General features: G+C 54.9%; 1 long non-coding RNA gene, 3 other non-coding genes and 2 pseudogenes across 9 annotated transcripts in view, besides 2 other annotated features; 1 reads left to right on the top strand and 5 right to left on the bottom strand.

The window, feature by feature from the left end:
• The window catches only part of LOC131696449 (PKD1P1-NPIPA5L readthrough), a 40,475-nt pseudogene extending 30,243 nt beyond the window's left edge, over positions 1-10,232 (bottom strand). For 2 of the 3 annotated variants that reach the window (NR_172900.1, NR_036447.2), the window contains exons 1-10: positions 9,804-10,232; positions 4,104-4,175; positions 3,911-3,982; positions 3,473-3,642; positions 2,589-3,260; positions 2,287-2,470; positions 1,632-1,815; positions 1,328-1,443; positions 791-917; positions 188-435 (exon numbers count right to left, since the gene is read on the bottom strand). The product of NR_172900.1 is annotated as a PKD1P1-NPIPA5L readthrough, transcript variant 1 (long non-coding RNA). Of the gene's footprint in view, positions 1-187; positions 436-790; positions 918-1,327; positions 1,444-1,631; positions 1,853-2,286; positions 2,471-2,588; positions 3,261-3,472; positions 3,643-3,910; positions 3,983-4,103; positions 4,176-9,803 lie in introns of all 3 variants that reach the window. The other variant, NR_172901.1, reaches the window with a different exon arrangement.
• Positions 1-10,232, bottom strand: part of PKD1P1 (polycystin 1, transient receptor potential channel interacting pseudogene 1) — a 22,344-nt pseudogene extending 12,112 nt beyond the window's left edge. The window contains exons 1-10 of the transcript NR_187118.1: positions 9,804-10,232; positions 4,104-4,175; positions 3,911-3,982; positions 3,473-3,642; positions 2,589-3,260; positions 2,287-2,470; positions 1,632-1,815; positions 1,328-1,443; positions 791-917; positions 188-435 (exon numbers count right to left, since the gene is read on the bottom strand). The product of NR_187118.1 is annotated as a polycystin 1, transient receptor potential channel interacting pseudogene 1 (transcript). The remainder of the gene's footprint in view (positions 1-187; positions 436-790; positions 918-1,327; positions 1,444-1,631; positions 1,816-2,286; positions 2,471-2,588; positions 3,261-3,472; positions 3,643-3,910; positions 3,983-4,103; positions 4,176-9,803) is intronic.
• Positions 1,994-2,876: an enhancer, noted in NCBI's record as "H3K27ac-H3K4me1 hESC enhancer chr16:16411347-16412229 (GRCh37/hg19 assembly coordinates)". NCBI's record gives its function as "activates a minimal SCP1, AML or CMV promoter by ChIP-STARR-seq in naive H9 embryonic stem cells {active_cell/tissue: H9 hESC(naive)}" and the evidence as "EXISTENCE:reporter gene assay evidence [ECO:0000049][PMID:30033119]".
• Positions 2,877-3,758: an enhancer, noted in NCBI's record as "H3K27ac-H3K4me1 hESC enhancer chr16:16410465-16411346 (GRCh37/hg19 assembly coordinates)". NCBI's record gives its function as "activates a minimal SCP1, AML or CMV promoter by ChIP-STARR-seq in primed H9 embryonic stem cells {active_cell/tissue: H9 hESC(primed)}" and the evidence as "EXISTENCE:reporter gene assay evidence [ECO:0000049][PMID:30033119]".
• On the top strand, positions 8,198-24,347 carry LOC105371099 (uncharacterized). Of its 2 annotated transcripts, XR_933137.4 has the most exons (4): positions 8,198-8,400; positions 16,334-16,553; positions 17,311-17,390; positions 24,107-24,347. It is a non-coding gene; the product is annotated as an uncharacterized LOC105371099 (long non-coding RNA). The 2 variants fall into 2 exon arrangements; XR_001752343.3 differs by lacking the exon at positions 16,334-16,553.
• Positions 10,400-10,487, bottom strand: MIR3180-2 (microRNA 3180-2). Its single transcript, NR_036142.1, has one exon. It is a non-coding gene; the product is annotated as a microRNA 3180-2 (primary transcript).
• Positions 13,932-13,996, bottom strand: MIR3670-2 (microRNA 3670-2). The gene has a single exon (NR_049832.1). It is a non-coding gene; the product is annotated as a microRNA 3670-2 (primary transcript).
• Positions 20,124-20,207, bottom strand: MIR3179-2 (microRNA 3179-2). Its single transcript, NR_036143.1, has one exon. It is a non-coding gene; the product is annotated as a microRNA 3179-2 (primary transcript).

Below are 24,347 nucleotides of genomic sequence, written 5' to 3'. Positions count from 1 at the left end.
TGGGAGAGGGGCAAAGGCACTGCAGAGGTCGGAGGTTGGAGGTCGGAGGTCGGAGGTCAGAGGTGGCAAGGACGTGGGAGGGGCCTGCAGGCTGGGTGTGTCTGCTGCGCAGACCCAGACCCTGGGCAGCAGACAGGAAGGTGGCCTGAGGAGATGCAGGGAACAGACCCAGGTCAGGGCCACACACCGAGTACTGCGCGGGGGGCCCCGCGGGAACGGAGAAGAGGAACTCTCTCCATAGCGCATAGGGGGACCCGAGTAGCCCTGGCCCTGACGTGCAGCCATTGGCGCAGGCCTGGGGGTGGCAGGAGGCGTCCAGCGGCAAGCAGATGTTGGCTCCAGGGCACCAGCGTCCCCCTGGCATGCACGCGGGGACCAGCTGGGTCCTGTTGTCCGGGGACCTGCTCTCAGGCTCGCTGCCGTTCTCCGGGGTCCCTGCGAGGAGGGGAGGGTGTTGGGGCCCTGATTCGCCCATGGGCCACCGTCAGAGATGCCCAACTGCCTGCACCAGCGAGCCTGGCCTTGCTGTGAGGACAGGTCTCCCCGCCCGGGCAGCACTCCCAGCCCAGTGCTGCGTCCCTGTCTCCGGCCAGCTGACTGACCCAGGCCGGTCCCCAGGCAGGCCCCACCCGATCCACCCCCAGGACACCTGGAATGAGCTGGTGTCTCTGGAACCCCTGCTCTGTCCACCTAAGACTGGGAACCACTCTGATGGCCACAGGACCAGCAGACGTGAGAGCTCAGAGAGGCCACCCCGAGTCCTGCGGCGCCCACCACCCCAGAGTCCCACCTGCTGTGCTGAGGAGCCGGTACACCTGCAGCCGCAGCTGGGCGGGCCGCCGGAGCTCCTGGGTCCCAAATTCGGCCGTGGTGAGGAAGGCTTCACGGCTCAGACGCAGGCCCGGGAATACCATGACCTGGTGGGCAGGGGGCCGCCTCAGCTCCACAGACCCCATCCCAGCCTGAAGCCCAGACTCCCCCCACCCGAACTTCGCAGGAAGAGGGGAGGGAAGGAGAGCGAGCCATCGGACCCCCACAGGCCTGGCTCCTGTCGCTCGAGAGGAAGACTCCGATGGAAACTGTCCATGGGGGGCAGGACCCCTGACCTGCCTTTCAGGAATAACTCACCCACACTCAGAGAAAAGGCCTGGGGGTAATGTGAGTAAACGCTTTCCTCTCTGCACTCTGGATTTTCCCAACCATCTTCACTGGGCACAAGCAACATTAAGGCCCCCAAGTTTTTTGGCGAGACCCACAGTGGGCAGGGCAGGCGAGGCCTCCAGGGGCAGGCAGGAGGGCAGGTTATAGAACGTGGGGGGCCGACTACCTCCACGGGCTCGTGCGGGGCTGAGAGGCCGTCCTGCCGTGCCAGAGGCATCAGGGGTCCCTACAGGTCCCCACTGGGCGCTCCCACGAGGAGGTTCTCGGCATCCTGCACTGGGCCTGGGGTGGCAAGTGCACAGTGAGGCGCCGGGCCAGGGCCCAGGACACCAGGACGAACAGACTGGGGACCGAGCCGCCCGAGAACCCCCCCACCAGCCCCTCCTCCTCAGCCCAGGCTCCACCGCGGGCGCTCGGCAGGCCCCTAACCACAGCCAGCGTCTCAGGCCCCTGCCTGGCCCCTCGCACACCTCCAGGCCGCAGCTCGCAGACGTAGCTGTGCGGCGCTGAGCACAGGTCGGTGTTACACCACCCGGTGGGCCCGAGCCGGACGCAGTGCTCGGCTGTGGCTGGGTGTGGCTCCCCGGGCAGCCAGTTCTGGCAGCTCTCCAGGCTGAAGGCCTCGCCCTGCGGCGCTGGGCCCACCTCCACCCCCTGCACAGTCGAGAAGCCGATCCACATGTCTAGGCTCCTGGGGGCGGGTGTGGGATGGCAGGGGGCTCAGGGCACTCCTCCATCCTCCCACCCTCACAGCAGCCCGCTGGGAGCCCCGTCACTGTCCCCCTTTCCAGATGGGGAAACTGAGGCTCAGAGCCCGGAGAACAGGGCCCACCAGCCCAGGCTCACAGCAGCACCCACCCACGGGGCCTGTGGGCACCGGCAGGGATCCCCGTGCAGGCCACCTCCCGTATGGCGTGCCCAGGAGTGTCCGGAGGCTGCCCCCAGCTCGCGTCCACCTCTGCATCTGCAGAGCTGACAGGAACGGCCCCACCGGCCGGCGCCACCTGCTCACCAGGGCCGGCCCAGCTCCCACCTCCCTCCTCCTGAGACTCCCCAGCCGCAGGCTCTGCCCCACTGCTTCAGAGATCTCCCAACCTATGGCCCCTCGGGGGGTGGGGCAGGCACCTGGTGACCCGGGAGACCAGGAAGCGCTGCACGGCGGGACTGTCCACCATTGCCAGGGTGGCCCCGGCCCAGGCCCGACACTGCTCCTGCGCCTGCAGCCAGGCCGCCTTCTCCACCACCAGGCGGTAGCAGTGCCCATTGCCAGAGAAGATCTCCGTGTCCGAGGGGCAGAGCGGGTGCACCGCTGGAGACCGGTGGGAACGAGGGTGTCAACGGTCAGTGTGGGCCCAAGACGGGGGTACCAGGCTCTGCCCCATCTGGATGGCCCTGGGGAGGAAGGGGAGTGGGCAGCAGACACTCACCTCGGGCCGGCTCCTCGCCCAGGGCCACGATGCTGTAGGCGGCCTCCAGGCCTGAACCACCGCGGTTCTGGATGCTGAGGTCGAGGCTCTCGTCACTCTGCACCGAGGACGGGCACACGAGCTCCAGGGCGGCAGGTGCCGCTTCCACCTGCACGTCTGTCCCCAGCAGGGCTGAGCCGGTCCCCAGGGCCAGCACGGCCGTCACGTGATAGCGCCCAGGCAGCACATAGCGATGCGAGGCAGCCGGCCCAGCGGCATCCACCTCGGGGGAGCCGTCTCCGAAGTCCCAGCGTGTGGCAGTGACAGGGAGCGGGGCAGCGATGTGGAAGGCTGCTAGCTGGCCGGAGGCCAGGGGTCCGTGGGGCCCCACCAGGGGGGCCCCTGGGGAGGCAGGGAAGACGTGCTGGAGGAGGGTGGGGCCCCTACAGGTGGGGGCAGGAGGCGGCGGGGGGCCGGAGCAGAGGGACAGGCAGGCGAAGGAGGCACTGGAGGGCTGGGCTGACCCACACAGGCACCAGCCCTGCTCGGAGAGGGCTGCGAGGCCCTGGCCGGTGGAGAAGCAGAAGGCGCTGCAGGCCTCTGGCTGAAGCAGGCCTTCGTGGGCAGCTGAAAAGGACACTGCTGCCACGGTGCCTGAGCTGTTGTCAGGGAGGCAGGCGACATACTCCTCACCTAGAAGAGGCAGCCACTGGACCCCGGGTTCTGCTCCTCCTGGCTCCACCCCACACCCCCCCATCCGCCCGCCGCACTCACAGGCTCCCATGCTGTTCCCTTGGCCCGGAGGCCCCCCCCAGAGAGGCCTTCCTGAGCCCTGCCCAGTGTCTGCAGGGCCCAGGTCCCACCTGGCTGGGAAGGACAGAGCTGCCCCACCCACCGGCACTCACCACAGCCACTGTCCAGCAAGGGGATGCCAAGCAGAGGCTGGCCAGCCAGGGAGCCAGGCCCAGCACACGTGGCTGCCTCGGGCTGCACCACCCGCACCTGCTGCTCCTCCGCCCATCGCGGCAGCCACGCCAGGCCACAGTCACACTCAAACGGGTTCCCACTCAGGTTTCTGCGGGGCAGGGGCAGGTGTTGGGGACCAGGTCTGGTGGGAAGGGTCTATGCCAGCCCCCCACTGGCAACCAGGCCCTGGAGCCACCCTGACAGCACCGCCTCCCCTGCCCCAACCAAGCCGGCACTGGGGGGCTCCAAGCAGGTAGTGAACTGCCCCCAGGATCTGGTCTCAAGCCTGGAAGGGGACACGGACCAACTGGGAGGGCAGAAGGGATACTGGGGGCCTGGGGTCCAGCCAGGACCCCACCCAAAGAACCACAACTTACATTTCACTTAAATTAAATAAATTAGCAAATATTCCTTCTTCTAACGTAGAAATCTTGTTGTTGCTTATATCCCTGGAAGAGAGGGGGGATTCGGCAAAGCTGACGGAAGCCCCCACAGCTGAGCAGCAAGAGGCGGTGCCGCCAGCCCACCCGGAGTGAGCCCCGCATGCTGGCACGACTGGGGGACACTCACAGCTCTGCCAGCGCCGAGAGGTTCGCCAGGAGCCCAACGTCCAGCGCCCGGAGCAGGTTGTGGGAGACGTCTCTGAGGAGTGAGTGGCCGTGGGTCAGGGCCAGAGCCCTTAGTAGGCCAGAGGCCATCCCTGGGCCCATCCCACACATTTCCAGCATCCCCAAGCTATGGCCTCCCACCCTTGAGCTCCCCACTCCCAGAGGTCAGGAGGGGCCTTTCTGATGGAAGACCCAAATGAACACTCATCTGGGGAAACCAAGCCGGGAGAGGCCTGGGGGCCTCAGCCCTCTGCACCCATCTCAGCCCTATGCCGAGTGCCACCTGGACCTGTCCACCCAGGGCCAGGAAGGGCACGGACCCCCAACCCATCCCACGCAGGGCCAAGGCCCCCCATCCCCTGTCCACAGTCCCCCACAGAGCCAAGGTCTCCCAACCCTGTCTACAGCCCCCACACAGACTCGAGGGGCCCCCATCTCCTGTTCTGAACCCAACAGGGTGGTCCCACTGTGGGACCACAACCAGGTATGACTGTGTGAGAAGCAGGCTCACTACCAGGCTACCAGGGAGCACAGCGGAGCAGGCGCCACCTTGAGGCATAAACCCAGAGAAACAAGACCTCCAAGACGGCCAGGCACTGGGGCACACGCCGGTAACACAGCACCGTGGGAGCTGAGACGGAAGGATCGCCTGAGCCCAGGATTTTGAAACCACCCTGGGCAACACAGTGAGACCCCGTATCTACAAAAAAATACACATTAGCCAGGCATGGCGGCATGCGCCTGGGGTCCCAAGTACTCGGGAGGTAGAGGAGAGAAAAATCACTTGAGCCCAGAGAGGTCAAGGCTACAGGGAGCTGAGATCGCATCACTGTACTCCAGCTGGGGTGAAACGGCGAGACTCTACCTCAAAAATAAATAAATACATACATAATTAATAAATAAAACATCAAAGACCAGCCGACCTAACTCCATCTAAAATACACAACTTCTACGCAAAATATAAATAAAATTAGAAAACAAACTACAATCTCAGAAAAGCACTAGCAACTTAGACGACATACTAAAGGCCAAAAATACCCTCCTGACACACAGCTAATAAAGAAAAAGTCAACTATTCCAGTTAAAAAGAAGAAAAGGAAACTGGCTGTGGTGGCTTATGCCTGTAATCCCAGTGCTTTGGGAAGGCCAGGAGTTTGAGACCAGGATGGACAGCATAGCAAGACCCCATCTCTACAAGGAAAAAAAGAATCAGCCAGGCATGGTGGTGTGGAGCTGTAGTTCCAACTACTCGGGGGGCTGAGGAGGAAGGATCGCTTGAGCCAGGGAGGTCGAGGCTGCAGTGAGCTATGATTGTGCCACTGCAGTCCAGCCTGGGCGACAGAGCAAGACCCGGTCTCGAAAGAAAAGAAAGAGAAAGCAAGAAAAGAAAGATGGCTGGGCACGGTGGCTCACTCCTGTAATCCCAGCACTTTGGGAGGCCAAGGTGGGTGGATCATGAGATCAAGAGATCAAGACCATCCTGGCCAACAGGGTGAAACCCCGTCTCTACTAAAAATGCAAAAATTAGCTGGGCGTGGTGGCGGGCACCAGTCCAGGCTACTCGGGAGGCTGAGGCAGGAGAATGGTGTGAACCCAGGAGGCGGAGCTTGCAGTGAGCCGAGATGGCACTGCTGCACTCCAGCCTGGGCAACAGAGTGAGACTCCATCTCAAATAATAATAAAAAATAAATAAATAAATAAATAAAAGACATCACTCACACCTGTAATCCCAGCACTTCGGGAGGCCGAGGCAAGCAGATCACCTAAGGCCAAGAGTTCAAGACCAGCCTGACCAACATGGTGAAACCCCATCTCTACTAAAAATATTTTTAAAAATTAGCTGGGCGTGGTGGCGCGCGCCTGTAATCCCAGCTACTCAGGAGGCTGAGGCAGGAGAATCGCTTGAACCCGGGAGGTGGAGGCTGCAGTGAGCCGAGATCACACCATTGTCCTCCAGCCTGGGTGACAGAGCCAGACTCCGTCTCAAACAAAACAAAACAAAAGACATCAGCTAGCTGGTCCAAGCACAGTGGTGTTCACAACGAATTGATCACAGCCAGGTAGAATTCTTCATTCTTTCTCCAGTTCCACTGCTTTGCTTGACCAGCCTTAAAGACACACATATACATTTTTGTCTGGGCGCGCTGGCTCACACCTGTAATCCCAACACTTTGGGAGGCCAAGGCAGGCGGATCACTTGAGGTCAGGAGTTTGAGACCAGCCTGACCAACGTGGAGAAACCCCGTCTCTCCTAAAAATACAAAATTAGCCAGGCATGGTGGCACACGCCTGTAATCCCAGCTACTGGAGAGGCTGAGGCAGGAGAATCGCTTGAACCCGGGAGGCGGAGGTTGCCGTGAGCTGAGATCGCGCCACTGCACTCCAGCCTGGGCAACAAGAGCGAAACTCTGTCTCAAAAAAAAAAAAAAAAAAGTATATATTTTTAAAAGACATTGGCCGGGTGCGGTGGCTCACGCCTGTAATCCCAGCACTTTGGGAGGCCGAGGTGGGCAGATCACGAGGTCAGGAGATCGAGACCATCCTGGCCAACACGGTAAAACCCCGTCTCTACTAAAAATACAAAAATTAGCTGGGCACGGTGGTGCATGCCTGTAAACCCAGCTACCAGGTACTCGGGAGGCTGAGGCAGGAGAATCACTTGAACCAGGGAGTCGGAGGTTGCGGCGAGCTGAGATCATGCCACTGCACTGCGGCCTGGAGACAAGAGCAAGACTCCGTCTCAAAAAAAAAAAAAAAAAAAAAAAAAAAAGACATCAACTAATTGCAGTGTGTGGACCTTATTTGGCTCTTAATTCAAACTATTAAACCAAAAATGTGAACACACCAGGCCTTCGGTGGCATGAAGGAATTGTCTGTTGTGTTAGGTGGGTCTGCGGTATTGCGATGCCCTCCAAAATGCTTGCAGATAAAAGGGTGGCTGGAATTTGGTTCAAAACATGGGTCAGGGCTGGGCGTGGTGGCTCATGCCTGTAATCCCAGCACTTTGGGAGGCCGAGGCGGGCGGATCATCTGAGGTCAGGAGTTCAAGACCAGCCTGACCAATATGGAGAAACCCTGTCTCTACTAAAAATACAAAATTAGCCAGGCATGGTGGTGCACGCCTGTAATCCCAGCTACTCGGGAGGCTGAGGCAGGAAAAGCGCTTGAACCCAGGAGGCGGAGGTTGCCATGAGCCGAGATCGTGCCATTGCACTCCAGCCTTGGCAACAAGAGTGAACTCTGTCTCAAAAAAAAAAACAAAAAACACATGGGTCAGGAGGGGAAGGGTCGGGGCAGGGAGGGCAGGGCAGGCTCTGGGGTGGGGGGTCTGTGAGTCAGCCACGGCTCTGCCCACGTCTCCCCACGAAGCTTCGAGCCATGCAGAGCAGCACGTTTTGCAGTACGCCATCTTTTCCAAAAGCCACCACCTCTCGGCAGCATCCTTAACCCAAGGCAGGCTGTGGCCTCAGAAGCCCCGGCTGTCCTCCACCTGGAACTGGACACAGCTGTCCCTGCTGAGCTTCAGCAGCCAGGGAGCCACAAGTGGAGAGGCACCTGCGTGAGCCCCCCAGGAAGGCTACTGGTGACACCCAGACAGCAACGCTCCTGGACCCTTGAACACCTGCCAGCAGCTGTGATCTGTGTCCTTCACCTCTCCCAGCTTGACCCCTCTTCCCTGGGGAAAACCCAGCCGTCTCCCCGAGGAGGAGTTTGCAGGGTAGACAGCAAAATGGCTGGGCTGCCCCACAGCACAGAGGGTGGCCTGGGGGGCCAGCCAGGGCCTTCACATCCTTCCTAGGGCCCTAGTTTCCCATGGGTCCCCTCACCCCACCTTCCAGAACTCTCCCAGCGGCGGCCCCAGGTGTGTACAGAACAGCACCCACCTGCCCACGAGGTCACCCTGTGCCCTGTTGCACACTTGAGGGGCCTGGCATTCGGAATCTTGCCAGCTCAGGCTGGGACAGGCCACCAACCCCCAGGGTCCCCCTCCTCCAAACCCCAGGACCAGAGCCTAAGAGGACAACACAAGGCAGGGGCGGGGGTTCCACTGCTGTGCCAAGGGCCTGGAGAACACGGGCCTTGCTCTCCGCTCAGCAGCCACCAGCGCCCTTCTCTCCCGGACAGCTCCCGAGGGGCTGCTCTCATGGACACCATCAGGTGCTGGGAAGCAGGAACCACCAGGACCTGGACAGAGTCCCCAGTGACCGGCCTGGCAGACAGAGGAGCCCTCAGCTACAGCATCACAAACAACGGGTGGGGTAGGTCTGATGCAATTCTGTGGGTGCTGTTGCCAGGCAGGAGGAGGCCATCTCCACAGAGACAGCCGCGAGACACACGCGTCCGCAGTCAGGGAGCGCAGGAGCAATGTGGCCCCGAGGGGCACGGGCTCCATTGGTCCAGGAGAACCCATTCTTCTCCCACCCTCGAGACCACCCAGCAAAGCCCCAAGGACACACGGCTCCCCTAAGGAAGGGTGGCCACAGGCGGGAGTGACCCAGAAACGTTACAAAACCAAATGCCAGAACCCACCCAATGTTTAGAAAGCCTGGGGATGTGCCACGTCCCCCAGGGATCCAGCACGCACCCAAAGAGACACTGTCCCGGCGAGGAGCCTGGAGCCTGGGAAATACAAGGCATCAGACTGGTCCCAAGACTCTCCCCAGCGCTGGGGACAACTGTCTGCTTATCTTAGTCCCCTGCGCCCTTTTCAATCCAACCCTGGGTCCTGGGCACCTCATAGTTCCAAACCCCTGCTATGCACATCCCGGCTGTGATGCCTGGGACAGGTCCTGTCCTGGCTGTGATGCCTGGGACAGGTCGTGTCACCTCTCCAAACCTGTTTCCTCATCTGTGAAATGCAAATCTCCACGGTCCCTATGCCTCGGATGGTCAGAGTCAGGATTCCGCATGACGACCCCCAACAGGAGCCTGGCACAGACCTGGCTCTGGGCAGCGTCTCCATAAAGGCCACCTGTTGTTTTTATCTCCCGAAAGCGAACATGACAAGGCTTTAACCCCCCACGGCAATCCGCCCTCACCCCTGTTCTCAGGATAGCCTTGGAACCCAATAGCAGAGCGCCTGAGGCCCTTCATGACCCCAGCCCACCCGCGAGCCCACCTCCCACCCTGCCCCTACCCCTCACACCTCCCGTGGCCAGCCTCCAGCCTCACGGTCTTTGCTCACACCGTTCACCCCCCTTCTTCTGGACCCACCTCATCGCCCCTTCCTAAGCATCAGCCCAATTCTTGCACATCCATCAAATCCTTGTCCAGACACCTCCTGGAACTCTTCCCTGCAGCCCCCTACAGCCATCCCCATCTCTCCGGGTACCCCGCAGCCCCAGGCCGAATCCCAATTCCTCTCCAATTAGCGACTGTTTGTCCTCCCAGCTGAGCGCGGCCTCCGCGCCCCGCCCCCGCTGGCGTCCGCAGAGCCCCCGGGTGGGGACGTCTGTCTCCAGACCCGGGGTTTTTCGGCTCCCCGGGGCCGTGCCAACCGCGGCTCCAGGCGTTCCTTATTTAGCAGGGCCGCTGTGCCGCGCCGGAGCCTCGCCCTGGGAGCGTCCTGGCCCGCGTCCTGCTTCCCGTCCCGGGCCAGGGAACGCGCCCACGCCCGCCCGTCCCGCGGCCTCTCCCGGGTGCCGCTGGGCCCGCTACTCACAGCGCTGTGGCGTCCGCGGGGATGCGCAGCGCGGGACCGAGCGTCCGCAGCCCGCGGCCCGCGGCCCGAGCAGTTGACGCGGCAGGCGGCGCCGGGCGCTAGGCCGCAGAGGCAGGGGGGCTCGCAAGGCCCGCAGCCGCGCCCGGGGCCCCCCGCCAGCGCCCCGAGCCACAGGCCCAGGCCCAGGGCCAGCGCCAGGCGGGCGGGCGCGGCGGGCGGCATCGTTAGGGCAGCGCGCGCATGGCCCCGCCGTCCCCAGGCCCGCCCGCGCGCGGAGGCCGCGGCTCAGGCGGGGCCGGCGGACGGCATGGCGGGCGCGGGGCTGGATGGGGCTGCGGCCGCGACCTGCTGCTGAGCGACGCCCGCTCGGGGCTCGGGGCCAGGCCGCTCCGGGAGCTCGGCCGCCCGCTCGGACGTTGGCGCTGCAGTGCGGGCCCCGCCGCGGCTCCTCCTCCTCCTCCCCGCGCGGCGCAGGGCGGACGGGGCGAGGGGGGGCGGGGCGGGTGCAGGCTCCGCCCCCTTCGCCACAGCGCGACCGGGCCAGCGATGAGGGACTGGCATCCGGAGGCTTCACCCTCCGCTCCACAGGGTCGGCAGCAGGGCGGGGCCTCCGGAAGCTCCGCCCCACGCTTTCCCGGGGCGCATGCGACGTGGGGCGGAGCGTCTGGAAGCTCCGCCCGTCGCACTGTAGAGTCGGCCGAGGCGCACGAGGTATTTTTCACGCTCCGCCCCTCTGCAGGCTAAAGTGCGTGGGCGGGAAGCGGTGGGCAGGGTGCCATCTGGCTCCGCCCTTCTCCTGTGGTGTGGGCCAGGCGGCGGCTTCCTCCTCCTGCAGCAGCCACAGGCTCCACTCTGATCCTTCTCCCGCGGCATGGATCCTTCTCCCGCGGCGTGGATCCTTCTCCCGCAATCTCCGTGCGCGTCCCCAGTCAGTACCCGCAGCCTCCCGACGCACCCGCTGGCTCCAAGCCTCCCTACCCCAGGTTTCCTGGCTAAGAGAGAGACAGAGGGAGAGAGGGGGAAGAGAGAGAACAGGCAATGGGAGGTTGATGGTGAGAGCTTATTGAAAGACAAGAGGGAGGAAACCCACATCCTTCATTCCCCATCCATTCATTTATTGCCTTATTTATTCCATTGAATCTTCACAGCTCTAGAAAAAGTGTGCTACAATTATTCCCTTTATTAAATGAGGTCACTGAGGCACAGTTTAAGAAATTTGCCAGCAGGGCACAGTGGGTCACTCCGGTAATCCCAGAACTTTGAGAGGGGGAGGAAGGTGGATCCCTTGAGCCCAGGAGTTGGAGACCAGCCTGGCCAACATGGCGAGACCCCGTTTCTACAAAAATTAGCCAAAATTAGCCAAACTGGCTCACACTTGTAGTCCCAGGTACTCGAGAGGCTGAGGCCGGAGGAGCGTGTGAGCCCAGGAGGCAGTGGCTGCGCTGAGCCGTGATTGTGCCACTGCACTCCAGCCTGGGCAACAGAGTAAGACCCTGTCTCGAAAAAAAAAAAATGGAAAAAAGAAAAAAAGAACTGGCTGGGAGTGGTGGCTCATGCCTGTAATCCCAGCACTTTGGGAGGCCGAGGTGGGTGGATCACCTGAGGTCAGGAGTTTGAGACCAACCTGACCAACAAGGTGAAATCCCATTTCTACTAAAAATACAAAAATTAGCCAGGCGTGGTGGCAGGTGCCTGTAGTCCCAGCTACTAGGGAGGCTGAGACAGGAGAATAGCTTGAACCTGGGAGGCAGAGGTTGCAGTGAGCCGAGATTGCACCACTGCACTCCAGACTGGGCAATACAGTGAGACTCCGTCTCAAAAAAACAAAAAAAATCCTACCACATGTGCTCCACCAAGCTCTGTCTCCAAGGTGGCCTTGGAAGCCACATGGGGAAGGTGGCAGAGACTCTAGGAGCCTGAGCAGAAATCCAGATGATTATGAAAAATGCAGACCTACCCATCCTTATTCACCTGGGACCACCGTGAACTATATCATAAGAAATAAACCCCTATTGTACATACATGCACCATTCGAGTTGGGTCTATTTGTTACAGCAGTTTAGCCAACCCTAATCCACATATACAGTGTCAACAGTGGCTGAGATGACATGTTGCACAGACATGAGAGTCAGAAAGACCTGAGTTCAAGTCCCAGTGATGACATTTACTATCTGTGTGACCTTGAAAAGCTGCCTAACTACTCTCAGACCGTTTCCTCATCAGTTTGTTTTGAGAGTCAAATGAGAAAATTACTAAAAAGCCCTTAGCACTGCATCTAAGATGGGGAAGAGACAGTCAATGAATTCAAGTTTCCTGAAGCCCAGTTGCATCCCTGCCCTGCCCTGGGCTCTGAGAGACAGTTGCCGAAGCTAGTGTTAAAGTGAACTAAATATGGCCTGAGTGGGACTTCGTACTTCTATAGTTGAGTCCTTGTGGACAAATTGCAACCTAGCTTAATAGGTAGACAAGATTGAAAACCTAACTTAGGAGTATGCGCCTGTAACAATAGCTGAGTCTTGGCCAATCCCAGAGGCCGTAGTTCAACCGCTCATACGCTGCTGAGTGTTCAAACTGTACTCAAATAAGGCAAACGCCAACTTGTAACAATCCAGCCATTCTGTACTTCACTTCTGATTTCTGTACATCATTTCCCTTCTTTTGTCCATAAATCTTCTTCCACCACGTGGCTGCGCTGGAGTCTCTATGAATCTGCTGTGATTCTGGGGTCTGCCCAATTCGCGAATCATTCATTGCTCAATTAAACTACTTTAAATTTAATTCAGCTGAGATTTTCTTTTATCACTAATTTGAGCTGGTTTTCTAATGTTTGCAAATGGGAGGGCTGACTAATATAACACTGCTCCAAATATTAACGTCTTTCTCCCAACCCATCACCCAGGCAGAAGTGGTCCAGCCTGGGCAACCCTAGGAGGAGGCTAGCTCTCCTCTAGGAAGGCTTAGGATGCAGCCAGTGGGCAGTAACTGGCTCACTGTCCCCTGCAACTGAAATCAGAACTGGTTCCAGAAACCAAGTTGACCCCCAACCAGTCTTTCCCAAAATATGGCTCTATGCCCATCTCTGGTCAGGCTGGGCTGTTTTCCTGGACAGAGAAGTCTCAGACAAGCAGGCAGTGGTTAGTGGGCTGTGCCCAGGCTGAGAACATTTCCCAGAGAAGATGGCATCTCTGGCAGTCCCTTAAAGCCAGCAGAGGCCAAGTCATGTCCAAGAGGCCAAAAGGCCCAATATGGTGGAGACAGTATACAGTCCCCATGAATAAGGGATGCTGATGCCTTCCCTATGTACCAGGTAGTCACTGCCTGAGGGGCCCAGAGCAGCAGGAGGGCAGAGCCAGCCTGGGCAGGGGCACTGGGCCGGAAGTGGGGCTCACATCCTCAGCACACACACACACACACACACACACACACACACACACACACACACACAAGCGAATGCACACACACACACACAAATGCACGCACACACAGATAGGTGCATTCAAACATCACATACACGTGTACATTCCTTGCAAAATCAACTTCTGCTGATAGCACAACAAACAATGGGGCCACAGTGTGGCATGGAGGAAACCCTGGAGTCTGATCTCATTTTTTTTTTTTTGCATCTGTCAGGGGATAAAGATATTTGATAAAAATCCTTGAGTCACATCCCCACCAGGTCCCTGCCTACCTGTAGACCCCATCAAGCCAGCTCCATGGCCCTTCAGATACCGCCTCACTGGGTCCCCAGGGATTGACCTCAGTCCTGGAAATGCAGAAATATCTGTATCTGTCACAGCTGAGACTGGCGGCCTTCCGCCGGCTTTCCTGGAGGCAGAGCTGGAGACAGGGACTTGGGTGGATGTGGTTTTTGTTTTTGTTTTGAAAGGGGCTTTCAGGAGAAGGGAGGTGAGGACTACAGGATGCAGAAGGGGACAGAGCAGAGTGAGAATGTGGTCCCTTAAAGTCCCGCCTTGACCTATCCCACGAGCAGCAGAGAGCACGCCACAGGATCGTCCCCACCGTGGGGCAGGGACCAGCCATTCACGTTGCTGTATCAGTTAGTCACTGGGCCATTACTGGGCATGGCATCCCATCCCAGGCAATGTGGCTCCCATCTGAGGGTGATTCTCTAGAGAAGGACAGCTGTGAGCTCTCAGCAGGTGAGGCTCCAAAAGCAGCTATACCAGTCTAGACCTCAGGGGAAGGGGGAATTCATCTCTAGGCAGGGATGATTTTCATAACATTGAACTCTTGACATGCAGGAGCACCGACCAATCAGAACAGACACGGTGACCAAACAGGCACAGCCACACCAGTGGATACCAGCGGAATGTCCACGCTGCCTCTGCGAAGGGACAGTCCCATGAGCCAAGCCCTAGACCAGCTGTTCTGGGAGCACTGCATCATTGCACTGAATTCTCACAACCGCCCCATAATGCTGGGACCATCCCCATTTTCTTGCCCAACAGCCTCCGTCTCATAGACACTAGGCGGCTCTCCCAGGGTCACACGGTCCAGTCAATAACGGGCAGAACTCGCACTCCGATCTGTCTGGCTCCAAAGCTGCTAAAAATTTTCTACTTGGCCTCACTGGCTTGACAAAGATAAAAAAGAAGGCAAGTCCTTCTTTCCAAGAGATGCTGAGGTCCCTCGGTGACACTAGGTCATGATTTTATCATGTTCAGAGGGCAATGAAAGGGACAGAAAACAAGCGATGTGTGATCTCCTGTCATGTCAAGAGACGCTGTTTTCAAAGAAACGTACGTTTCGCAGAATCAATACGCTGTGGGGCCTCAGAAAGCAGAGGCAGACACACGGCCCCAACCCGTGCACGTGGGAGCCCTGTTACAAGAGACGGCAGAAATTAAACTGAATCACCTGGAGCAAGTACATTGTAAATGTTCAATATTAATGACCCACCTCGGCCCCAAAGAAGAGAGCGTTGGGCTTTGTCCAGCTGTGTGCTCTGTTGTTAAAAGACCACCTTGTGGCCAGGCACGGTGGCTCACACCTGTAATCCCAGCGCTTTGGGAGGCCAAAGCAGGTGGATCACCTGCGGTCAGGAGTTCGAGACCAGCCTGGTCAACATAGTGAAACCCCGTCGCTACTAAAAATACAAAAATTTGCTGGATGTGGTGGCTGGCGCCTGTAATCCTAGCTACTCGGGAGGTTGAGGCAGGAGAATCGCTTGAACCTGGGAGGCGGAGGTTGCAGTGAGCCAAGATCACGCCATTGCACTCCAGCCTGGGCGACAAGACTGAAACTCCGTCTCAAAAACAAACAAACAAACAAACAACAACAGAAAACAATTTGTGCCTTAATGGGCATTCCTTTCCCTTCTTGCTAAGGGATGAGATGATGGCAGAACTTGTGGCCACTGTCCTGGAGGTTGACAAGCTTTTTCTGTAAAGTGCTAGATAATAAATATTTTGTGGGCCACACGATCTCTGGTGCAACTACTCAACACTGCCATTGTCATGCAAATGTAGCCATAGATGATAATAAATGAATGGGTGTGACTGTGTTCCAATAAAACTTTATTTATAAAACAGACAGCTGGCCAGAGTTGGGCAATGGGCAGTAGTTTGCCCCCCACTCCCCGCCCATCCGTCCTATTCCTTGGCTTTTTTGGGTACATCAAGGAGTGCAGTCTGGATGCTGGGCTATTTTATGGCCACTGGGCATAACCTTAACCTGGGCCTTTTGTCTGTTAACCTGGGTCAGTGGCTACGGTGAAGGTCGGGCAACCAAGGTTTAGATGGCTCAGTACACATTCACGCCCACAAACCAAACCAGGAAAAAGATGTGCTAAGTTGAGCATATGACACTGTTGGTACTCAAATGGTTTGTTTTTTTTTTTAAATAAATGTTTAAGTAAATTTTTTATTTTAGAACAGTTTTAGAAAAATGGTGAAAGCAGTACAGAGAGTTTCCATGTACCCCATAGCTTGATGCATTATGAACTAAAGTCCATACTTTTTTTAGGGGGGTGGGGACAGGGTCTTGCTCGTCACCTAGGCTGGAGTGTGGTGGTGTGATCATAGTTCATGGCAGCCTCAACCCTCCACCTCCCCTGGCTCAAGCGATCCTCCATCTCAGCCTCCCAAGTAGCTGGAAATACAGGTGCCTGCTACCATCCCCAGAGAATTTGTTTTTGTTTGTTTGTTTGTTGTTTGTTTGTTGAGACAGGGTCTCACTCTCATTGCCCATGCTGGTATACAGTGGCACAATCACGGGTCACTTGCAGCCTTGACTTCCCGGACTCAAGTGATCCTCCCATCTCAGCCTCCCGAGTAGCTAGGACTACAGGTGCACACCACAAGCCTGGCTAATTTTTTGTATTTTTTGTAGAGATGGGGTTTCGCCATGTCGCCCAGGCTGGTCTTGAACTCCTGGGCTCAACCCATCCGCCGGCCTCGGCCTCACAAAGTGCTAGGGTTACAGGCGCGAGCCACCGTGCCTGGCCACCTAAAGTCCATAGTTGATTCTGATTGCCTTAGTTTTTGCTTAATGTCCTTTTTCTGTTCCAGGATACCACATGGAGCATTTTGAGGAGTGCTGGCCAGGTATTTTGTAGAATGTTCCTCAACTGGGATTTGGCAGATGCTTCTCATCCTTAGTCTTGGCTTGTGTGTGTTTTGAGGAGGAGGACCACAGAGCTTAAGAATCATTCTCAGCACTCTGTATCAGGCACGCATTCTCTCAAGATGACTTGCCGCTATTGAAGTTGACTTTGATCACCTGGCTGAGGTAGTCTGTCCGTGTTCTCCACTGTAAAGTTACTCTCTCCTCTCTTTTCACACTGTACTCTTTGGAAGAGAGTCACTATGCACAGCCCACACTTAGGATGTGGGAAGTCCGCTCCACCTCCTTGACGATGGAATAGCTATATAAATTACCTGGGGCCGGGCACGGTGGCTCACACCTGTCATCCCAGCACTTGAATGGGAGGCCGAGGAGGGTGATCACTTGAGGTCAGGAGTTTGAGACCAACCTGGTCAACATGGTGAAACCCCGCCTCTACTAAAAATACAAAAAATTAGCCGAGTGTGGCAGCGCATGCCTGTGATCCCAGCTACTCGGGAGGCTGAGGCACAAGAATCGCTTGAACCTGGGAGGTGGAGGTTGCAGTAAGCCAAGATTACATCACTGCACTCCAACCTGGGCAACAGAGCAAGACCCTGTGTAAAAAAAAAAAATTAAATAAAAATAAATAAATAATCTGGAATTCTTCTGCCTGGGAGATTTGTCTCTTCTCTCTTATCTGATCATTTATAGCAGTATGGAATCATGGGTATTTATTCTTTGAATTCTAATCCAATAGTACTTTTTTGGGGCTCAAATTGTTCTGGCTTTGACCCCTGGGAGCTTTTCCACTGGCTCCTGTGTCCCTCTGAGATGCCCCATCACTGCAGCAGTTTCATTTTGTTTCATTTAGCGCCTCCTCACCCTGTGACCCTACAAGATGCTTCAGGTTCTTCTTATCTATTTCCTCCCTCGGTCCTAGGATCGACATTTGTTCAAGAAGCCTGGTTCCTTTTACTGGAGAATGGTGTTTATTGGAGAACAGAGACCTGGGCACCAGAGGTTTGTTGCTACTGGGGTATCCTTGCTTCTAGGCTCTCTTCGCTGACAGCCAGGATTAGTAATGTGTGTCTTACTAATTTGTGTATATGCACATATCCATAAATATTTCTCTATGTAGCCATCTGTATCTATATTGAGCTAAACATGTGTTCATACTGATGCCTGCCACTCTAATCCACTGCCACATGGATCACTCTAGCCTTGCCTCCTTTGCCGACCTGTAAACCTCCCGCCCCCCACCCCATCTATTACTTAATGAATTTCAGTAAGCATGTGAGGTGGGTGGTTATGGAAACCATTTTTGACCTATATATAAGATGGCAGTTTCGTCTGATTTCTCCTAAATAGAAGACGAGTGTGAAATGGTAACATGGTGTCCGTAGGAGTCATATGGATGGACCATGGCCAACCATATTATTAAGGAATATTCATGCATTCATCCATCCATCCATCCATCCATCCATCCATCCATTCATTCACCAGTGAATGAGTAAAGCATTAGGTATTCACCACACTGTCCTCTCCTGGACTTCCCCCTACCTCACGGGCCACTTCCTCTCTGTCTCTTGGGCAGGGCCCTCCTCGCCCATCCTCTGAAGGTTGCACTGTCCCAGGGCTTGGCCCCCAGCCCTCTCCTTTTCTCAGTCTTCATAAGGATACCTATTATTCAATCCCGTGGCCTCATCTGTCATCCAAAAACACTCCCAGCTCACCACGTCTCATCTCCAGCCGTGATTTCTCACCCAGGCTGCAGACTCGGGTGTCTGATAAGCATCTCAAACTCACGATGGCCAAAACAGAAGTCTCAATTTACCTACACATTTCAGTGGTTCAGCTAGAAACAAACGATTCACTTATCGTTGATTCCTCCCTTCCCTCACCTCCTGTATTAAATACATCAGCAAGACCTTTCTGCTCTATCTCTGAAGCATAGCCCCAAGCTCACCACTTCCTGCCACTGTTACTTCCATCACCCCAATCCAAGCCATTGCTGTCTTTTGCCTAAACCAACACAACGTCCTCTTTGCTTCTCTCCCTAAATTCATTCTTGCTTCCCAATAATCCAATCTCCTCAAAATTTAAAGAAGCAATTGTTTAAAAACATACATCAGATCACTCCCCTTTCCCTACTTAAACCCTCCAATGCCTTCTGTTGCCATTAGAATAAAATCTAAACTCCTTTCCAGGGCACCCACATGACCCGGTCCCTGCCATCGTTCTCATCTCTTCCTCTCAATCACTTGACTCTGGCCACCCTGGCCTCTTTGCTATTCCTGAAACTCAGGGAGCTCATTTCCTCCTGGGGGCCTTTGCAATTATGGTCCCCTCTGCCTGGGCAGCTCTTCCCCCAGATCTTTGCATAACTGGCCCTTCCCCTCCTCAGGTCTCAGCTCAGATGCTGCCTCCTCAGAGAGACCTTCCATGATACCAATCATCCTCTGTCACATTGCCTTGTTCTGCTTCTTTTCTTCGTAACGCCTGGCATTATCCAACAACTTCTAATGTGTGTGTTTACCTTTCGTCCTCCATCAGCACTGTGCTCCTAAGAGCTGAGGCTCGGTCTCTCTCACACCACTAAACCCCCAGTATGCCAAGCAGCACCCAGCACAGGGGAGATGCTCAGTTAATACTTGTTGAATGAATTAATGATGCTCCCCCTAAAACTAAACTTTACAAAGCACCCACTAGACAACAGGTTAGAAAACATTTTCTAGGCCAGGCGCAGTGGCTCACACCTGTAATCCCAGCACTTTGGGAGGCTGAGGCAGGCAGATCATCTGAGGTCGGGGTTTGAGACCAGCCTGGCCAACATGGTAAAGCCCTGTTTCTACTAAAAATGCAAAAATTAGCCAGGCTTGGTGGCAGGCGCCTATAATCCCAGCTACTAGGGAGGCTGAGGCACGATAATCATTTGAACCCAAGAGGCGGAGGTTGCAGTGAGCTGAGATCACACCACTGCACTCCAGCCTGGGTGACAGAGAAAGACCCCATCTCAAAAACAACAACAACAACAACAAAATGTCTTCTGTAAAGACCCAGATAGCAAGTATTTTAGGCTTTTTAGGCTACCTGGTCTTTGCCACAACTACTTACATCTGGCACTGTCAGGCAAAAGCAGCCATAATCTGCAAATGAATGGGCATGGCTGTGTGCTCATAACACTTTATTTATAAAACAAGAACAGTGGGCCATAGTTTGCTAACCCCTGCACTAGCCCAGTCTAAGTCTTGAATATCATCTGTGTAATTAATTCACAGTGAGGAGTTCTCCACTGTAATAATTACTCATTCCATGAATGCATGCCACTCAGGTGAGGCGTTCTTGAAACTCTGAGAGGCAAGAAGCAAAATGTTCTTTCTCCATACCCAGGCACACTCCAGTCTGTGAAAAGGAAGCAAGAGAGGCAGGCTGCAAGTTTGATCACTGGGTGGCTGCTAGCCACCTCTCCCCCTCAGCTCCAAGAGCAGAAACAGGATGAAAACGCAGCAGCTGCCGGCTTCTGTCCTCTTGCCAGCTGCCTCTCTTGCAAGACTAGACAGGGAGGGGCAGCCGCCAGTCTCCGGAGGCACAGACTGCACAGAATTGAGGATCACTTGTTCCAATGCATTCATCTTATCTTACAAAATCTTCAAATTCCAAAAAGCACACGTAAGAAGGGCTGCTGTTTCATTCACACAGTGAAATATTGTGCATCTGAAAGAATATGTAGATGGGTGGCATCTTCAACAACCCCAGGATCACAGACGTTTAAATTTCACCCCTTCTACTGCTGTAAGGCACAGCAGAAGGAGTGTAATTTAAACGTCTGTGATCCTGGCTGGGCGTGGTGACTCTTGCCTGTAATCCCAACACTTAGGGAGCCCAAGGTGGGAGGATTGCTTGAGCTCAGGAGTTCAAGACCAGCCTGGGCAACCTAGTGAGAGCTCATCTCTACAAAGATTTTTTTTAAAAAAATTAGCCAGGTGTGGTGGTGCACTCCTGTAGTCCCAGCTACTCAGCAGGCTGAGGCACGATGATCCCTTGACCCTGGGAGATCAAGGCTGCAGTGAGCTGTGATGGTGCCATTGTACTCCAGCCTGGGGAACAGAACAAGAACCCATCTAAAAAAAAAAAAAGAAAGAAAAGTTCATATTCCAACCAAGATCTCACCATTGCATCATCAAGCATAAACACCTGCCCCCACTGAAAAAGTACAGAGGAAGGCAGTCATATAATATCTTCCCTCCTGACCTCACCAAGTTCCAGGGCAGGAAGAGTCTCGCCACCCCAGCACACAGTAGGCCCACTGGAAAATGAGTGCTCCCTTCTCTAGGCATTTCATTGTCATGGTCATAAAGTCAGGTTCATTTTTCTAATGAAAGAGAAAGCCAAAAATGGAGGCTGATTTTTTTCTTTTTTCTTTTTTTTTTTTTTTAGTCTCACTCTGTCGCCAGGCTAGAGTGCAATGGTGCGATCTCGGCTCACTGCAACCTCCGACTCCCTGGATCAAGTGATTCTCCTGTCAGCCTATCGAGTGGCTGGGACTACAGGCGCCCACCACCACACCTAGCTAATTTTTGTAGTTTTAGTAGAGACGGGGTTTCACCATATTGGCCAGGATGGTCTCGATCTCTTGACCTCATGATCTGCCCATCTCAACCTCCCAAAGTGCTGGGATTACAGGCATGAGCCACCACACCGGGCCTGGAGGGTGATTTTGACCAGGCCTTCTCAAGTTTTGGAAGGAAGTGGAGCTGACTTCTCTTCTGTTGCTTTTGCCCACCCAGGATCACTTATTCCTCTGGGTAATACAGCACCCCAGGCACAGGGGCCGCCTGTCACATGAGCGTGGGCATGGCTCATGTGCGGCCAGGCCCCAGTGATTCTGCAAAGGTTGCCCATAAGTCCTTCCCCCGCCCCAGGACTGGCATATTGATGTGGTGGGATGGAAGCTGTCCTTCTGCTGGGTCTGCAGATGGGGGCAATGTAAAGCCTGACATTGCCGGATGATGTCAGAAGCGGAACCCATAGGCAAAAGCCAGCTTTCCAGCACTCCACTCTCAGTTTCCTGCCATCTCCACTTCTGTGGATGTGTGCCCGGCATCTGCCTCTGCCCCTGCCTCTGAGAGCAGTGACTGAGCAAACAGTCCTGGACCTGGTTGAAAGGATGGGCCTGTCTGTTTCTAGCAGAGTGGTCTTTCAGAAAGCTGATTCCTGAAAGTTGGCATCAAGGGAAGCAGAGCCAGGAGGTGGAAATTGAGACTGGGTCCCGCTATGCATGAAGCCAGAGACTCTTGGATTTCTCCGTTACTTGACCAGAGGAATGCCCCATTTTGCTCAAGCTAGTTGGAGTTGGATTTCTGTTACTTGAAACCAAGAGAGCCTTAACTAATACACAACTAGAAATGCATCCATGGTCACTGCCCATTCATGTGACAGACATTTATTGAGCACTATTCCAGTTACCTAATGTTGCATGAGTTACCCCAAAACTTAGAGGCTTAATTCAGTCGTATAAGATATTCACAGATCCCGTGGGTCAAGAATTTGGGAAGACACTGTAGGTTGAACTTTGTTCTCTGCTTTGTCTTTCTTGGAAAGAGAGGACACAGCTTGAAGTCATTACTGATTTGGGACTGTATGTAATGCATATCTGTGCTTCATTGTCACTGTGTTTTTAAGTTTTCTAAACTTAAAACAGCTCATTTTCGGGGGACATAAAGAACCTGGGAAGAGCTCAGCTGGGCAGCACTGACCTGGGGTCTCTTGAGTGGTGGAAGTCAGATGTCATCTGCAGTTGCACTCACCAGAAGGCTTGACCGGGGCGGGGAAATTCGCTTCCAAGCTGGCTCACTCACGTGGTGGCAAGCTGTACATGCTGGGGGCCAGGGGCCTCACCCCTCCCCACGAGGCTGCCTGAGCACCCTCACGCAAGGCAGTTGGCTTCCCGAGAGCCAAAGTGCAATGCCTGTTACGACCTAGCCCGAGAAGTCACACATCATCACTCACTTCCACCACTTCCCACTGGTCGCACAGAGCCAGCCTGATTCAGTGTGGGAGGGGACCACACACAAAGGCAGTGTGCATCCCTGGGGGCCATCCTGAGGCTGGCTGTGTACCACAAACACCCGCCACATGCCAGGGACTGGACACACAGCCTTTGACCCCCACTGAACATCAGCCTAAACAGAAGGCAACCAAGCAAACCTTATCCCCCAAACTCTTTCCAACTCCTCCCTTAGGACGGCCCCTGCTTTTAAGTAAAGGGAATCGTGCCGAATAATTGTTCCTATTAAGGAACTAGATCTCAGGGTTTGGTCATGCAGCTCTTTGGTTACAGAAACAACGCTGATGAAATAATCGAAGGTCCTCCACCATTCTCACCCCCAGCCATGACCCCGTCCACTGCACACAGTGCTCCACGTCACTGTGCCTTTCCTAACTTTACTACAGCTTATACCTGCCTCTCCTGTACAACATCCACGTGACATCCATCTCTAAACCTCTGAGTCATCCCTAGACAAGCTGGCATGTGACTACATCATCTCATTTCATACATCAAGGGCAGGAAAACATGGTGGTTAAGAACTCTTGGACCTGGGTTCAAACCCCTGCTCTGCCACTTGACAGCTGCAAGATTGTTCAGCCTCAGTTTCTTTCTCTGAAAAATGGGGCTGGAAGCATACCTACTTCATGAACTCATGAAGCATCCACATGCATGCAAGGGCACGGCACAGCGCCCGGCACACAGTAGCTCAAGAAAGGCTGGTTGTGCCTGCTGGTGTGCTTGATCCAGAGAGGCAATCACTCATTTGCTTTTTCCTTATTTCCTGAATCTTTGTTTCTCACATTTAGGCCATTAGAGTTAAGCAGAAGGACTGCCTCTTCCTCCAGCCATCTCACCAGTCCTTCCACATACACATGCACAAACACACACACACACACACAAACACACACACACACACGTTCTCATGCTACCTTCGGCCCTTCCCATCTCCTGTAACCCCAGAAAAGAAGACCGAGTTGAAGCCGTTGCCTTAGAATGGCACTGCCCTGGCCAGGTGTGGTGACTCATGCCTATAATCTCAGCACTTTGGGAGGTTGAGGCAGAAGGATCACTTAAGGCCAAGAGTTCAAGACCAGCCTGGTCAACATAGCCGAGACCCTGTCTCTACAGAAAAATCAAATCAAATAAAAAGCTTTTAATTAAAAAAGAATGGCACCGTCCTAAAGCTCCTGAGGTGTCCTCATCAAGGATTTATGGTTGTTTTTACGGCCACTTTAATAGGCAGAAATGTGCACAGAGCAGAGTTCCCCAAGAATCTGCCATCTTAGACCATTTTGTTTTTTAAATACCTCAGCAAACAAGTCTGTCTCATATGACTTTTGTCCCATTCCAAGTCTAATAACAGCCCGGGTGCGGTGGCTCACGCCTGTAATCCCAGCACTTTGGGAGGCCAAGGTTGATGAATCACCTGAGGTAGGGAGTTCAAGACCAGCCTGGACAACATGGTGAAACCCCGTATCTACTAAAAATACAAAAAATTAGGCGAGCGTGGTGGTGGGCACCTGTAATCCCAGCTACTCGGGAGGCTGAGGCAGGAAATCGCTTGAAACCGGGAGGCAGAGGTTGCAGTGAGCCGAGATCACGCCACTGCACTCCAGCCTGGGCCACAAGAGCGAAACTCAAAAAAAAAAAAAAAGAATCTAATAACATTAATGTTTACTTCTCACAGGAGGATCAGAGGACTTCTGTCCTGAGATTGCCAGAAAAATGATGAACAGAAAATTATACACAACCGAACAGGCCCAACTTTCAAATGGACTGAGAATGACCCACACAAGTTCCACCGAGGCCAAGGGTGACCTGCAGCCAGCGACAGGGAAAGACTGCCACTTACTGGCGGCCTCCGGAACTGGAAGGAGTGTACTGACAATTGTATCTTTCGCAAGCTCTTAACCTTTATACCGTCAATA

This window comes from Homo sapiens, chromosome 16 (genome assembly GCF_000001405.40).
Source record: "Homo sapiens chromosome 16, GRCh38.p14 Primary Assembly".
NCBI classification, from domain to species: Eukaryota; Metazoa; Chordata; class Mammalia; order Primates; family Hominidae; genus Homo; species Homo sapiens.
Note: the sequence above shows the minus strand (reverse complement) of the source record. Positions and strands in the feature narration are given on the sequence as shown.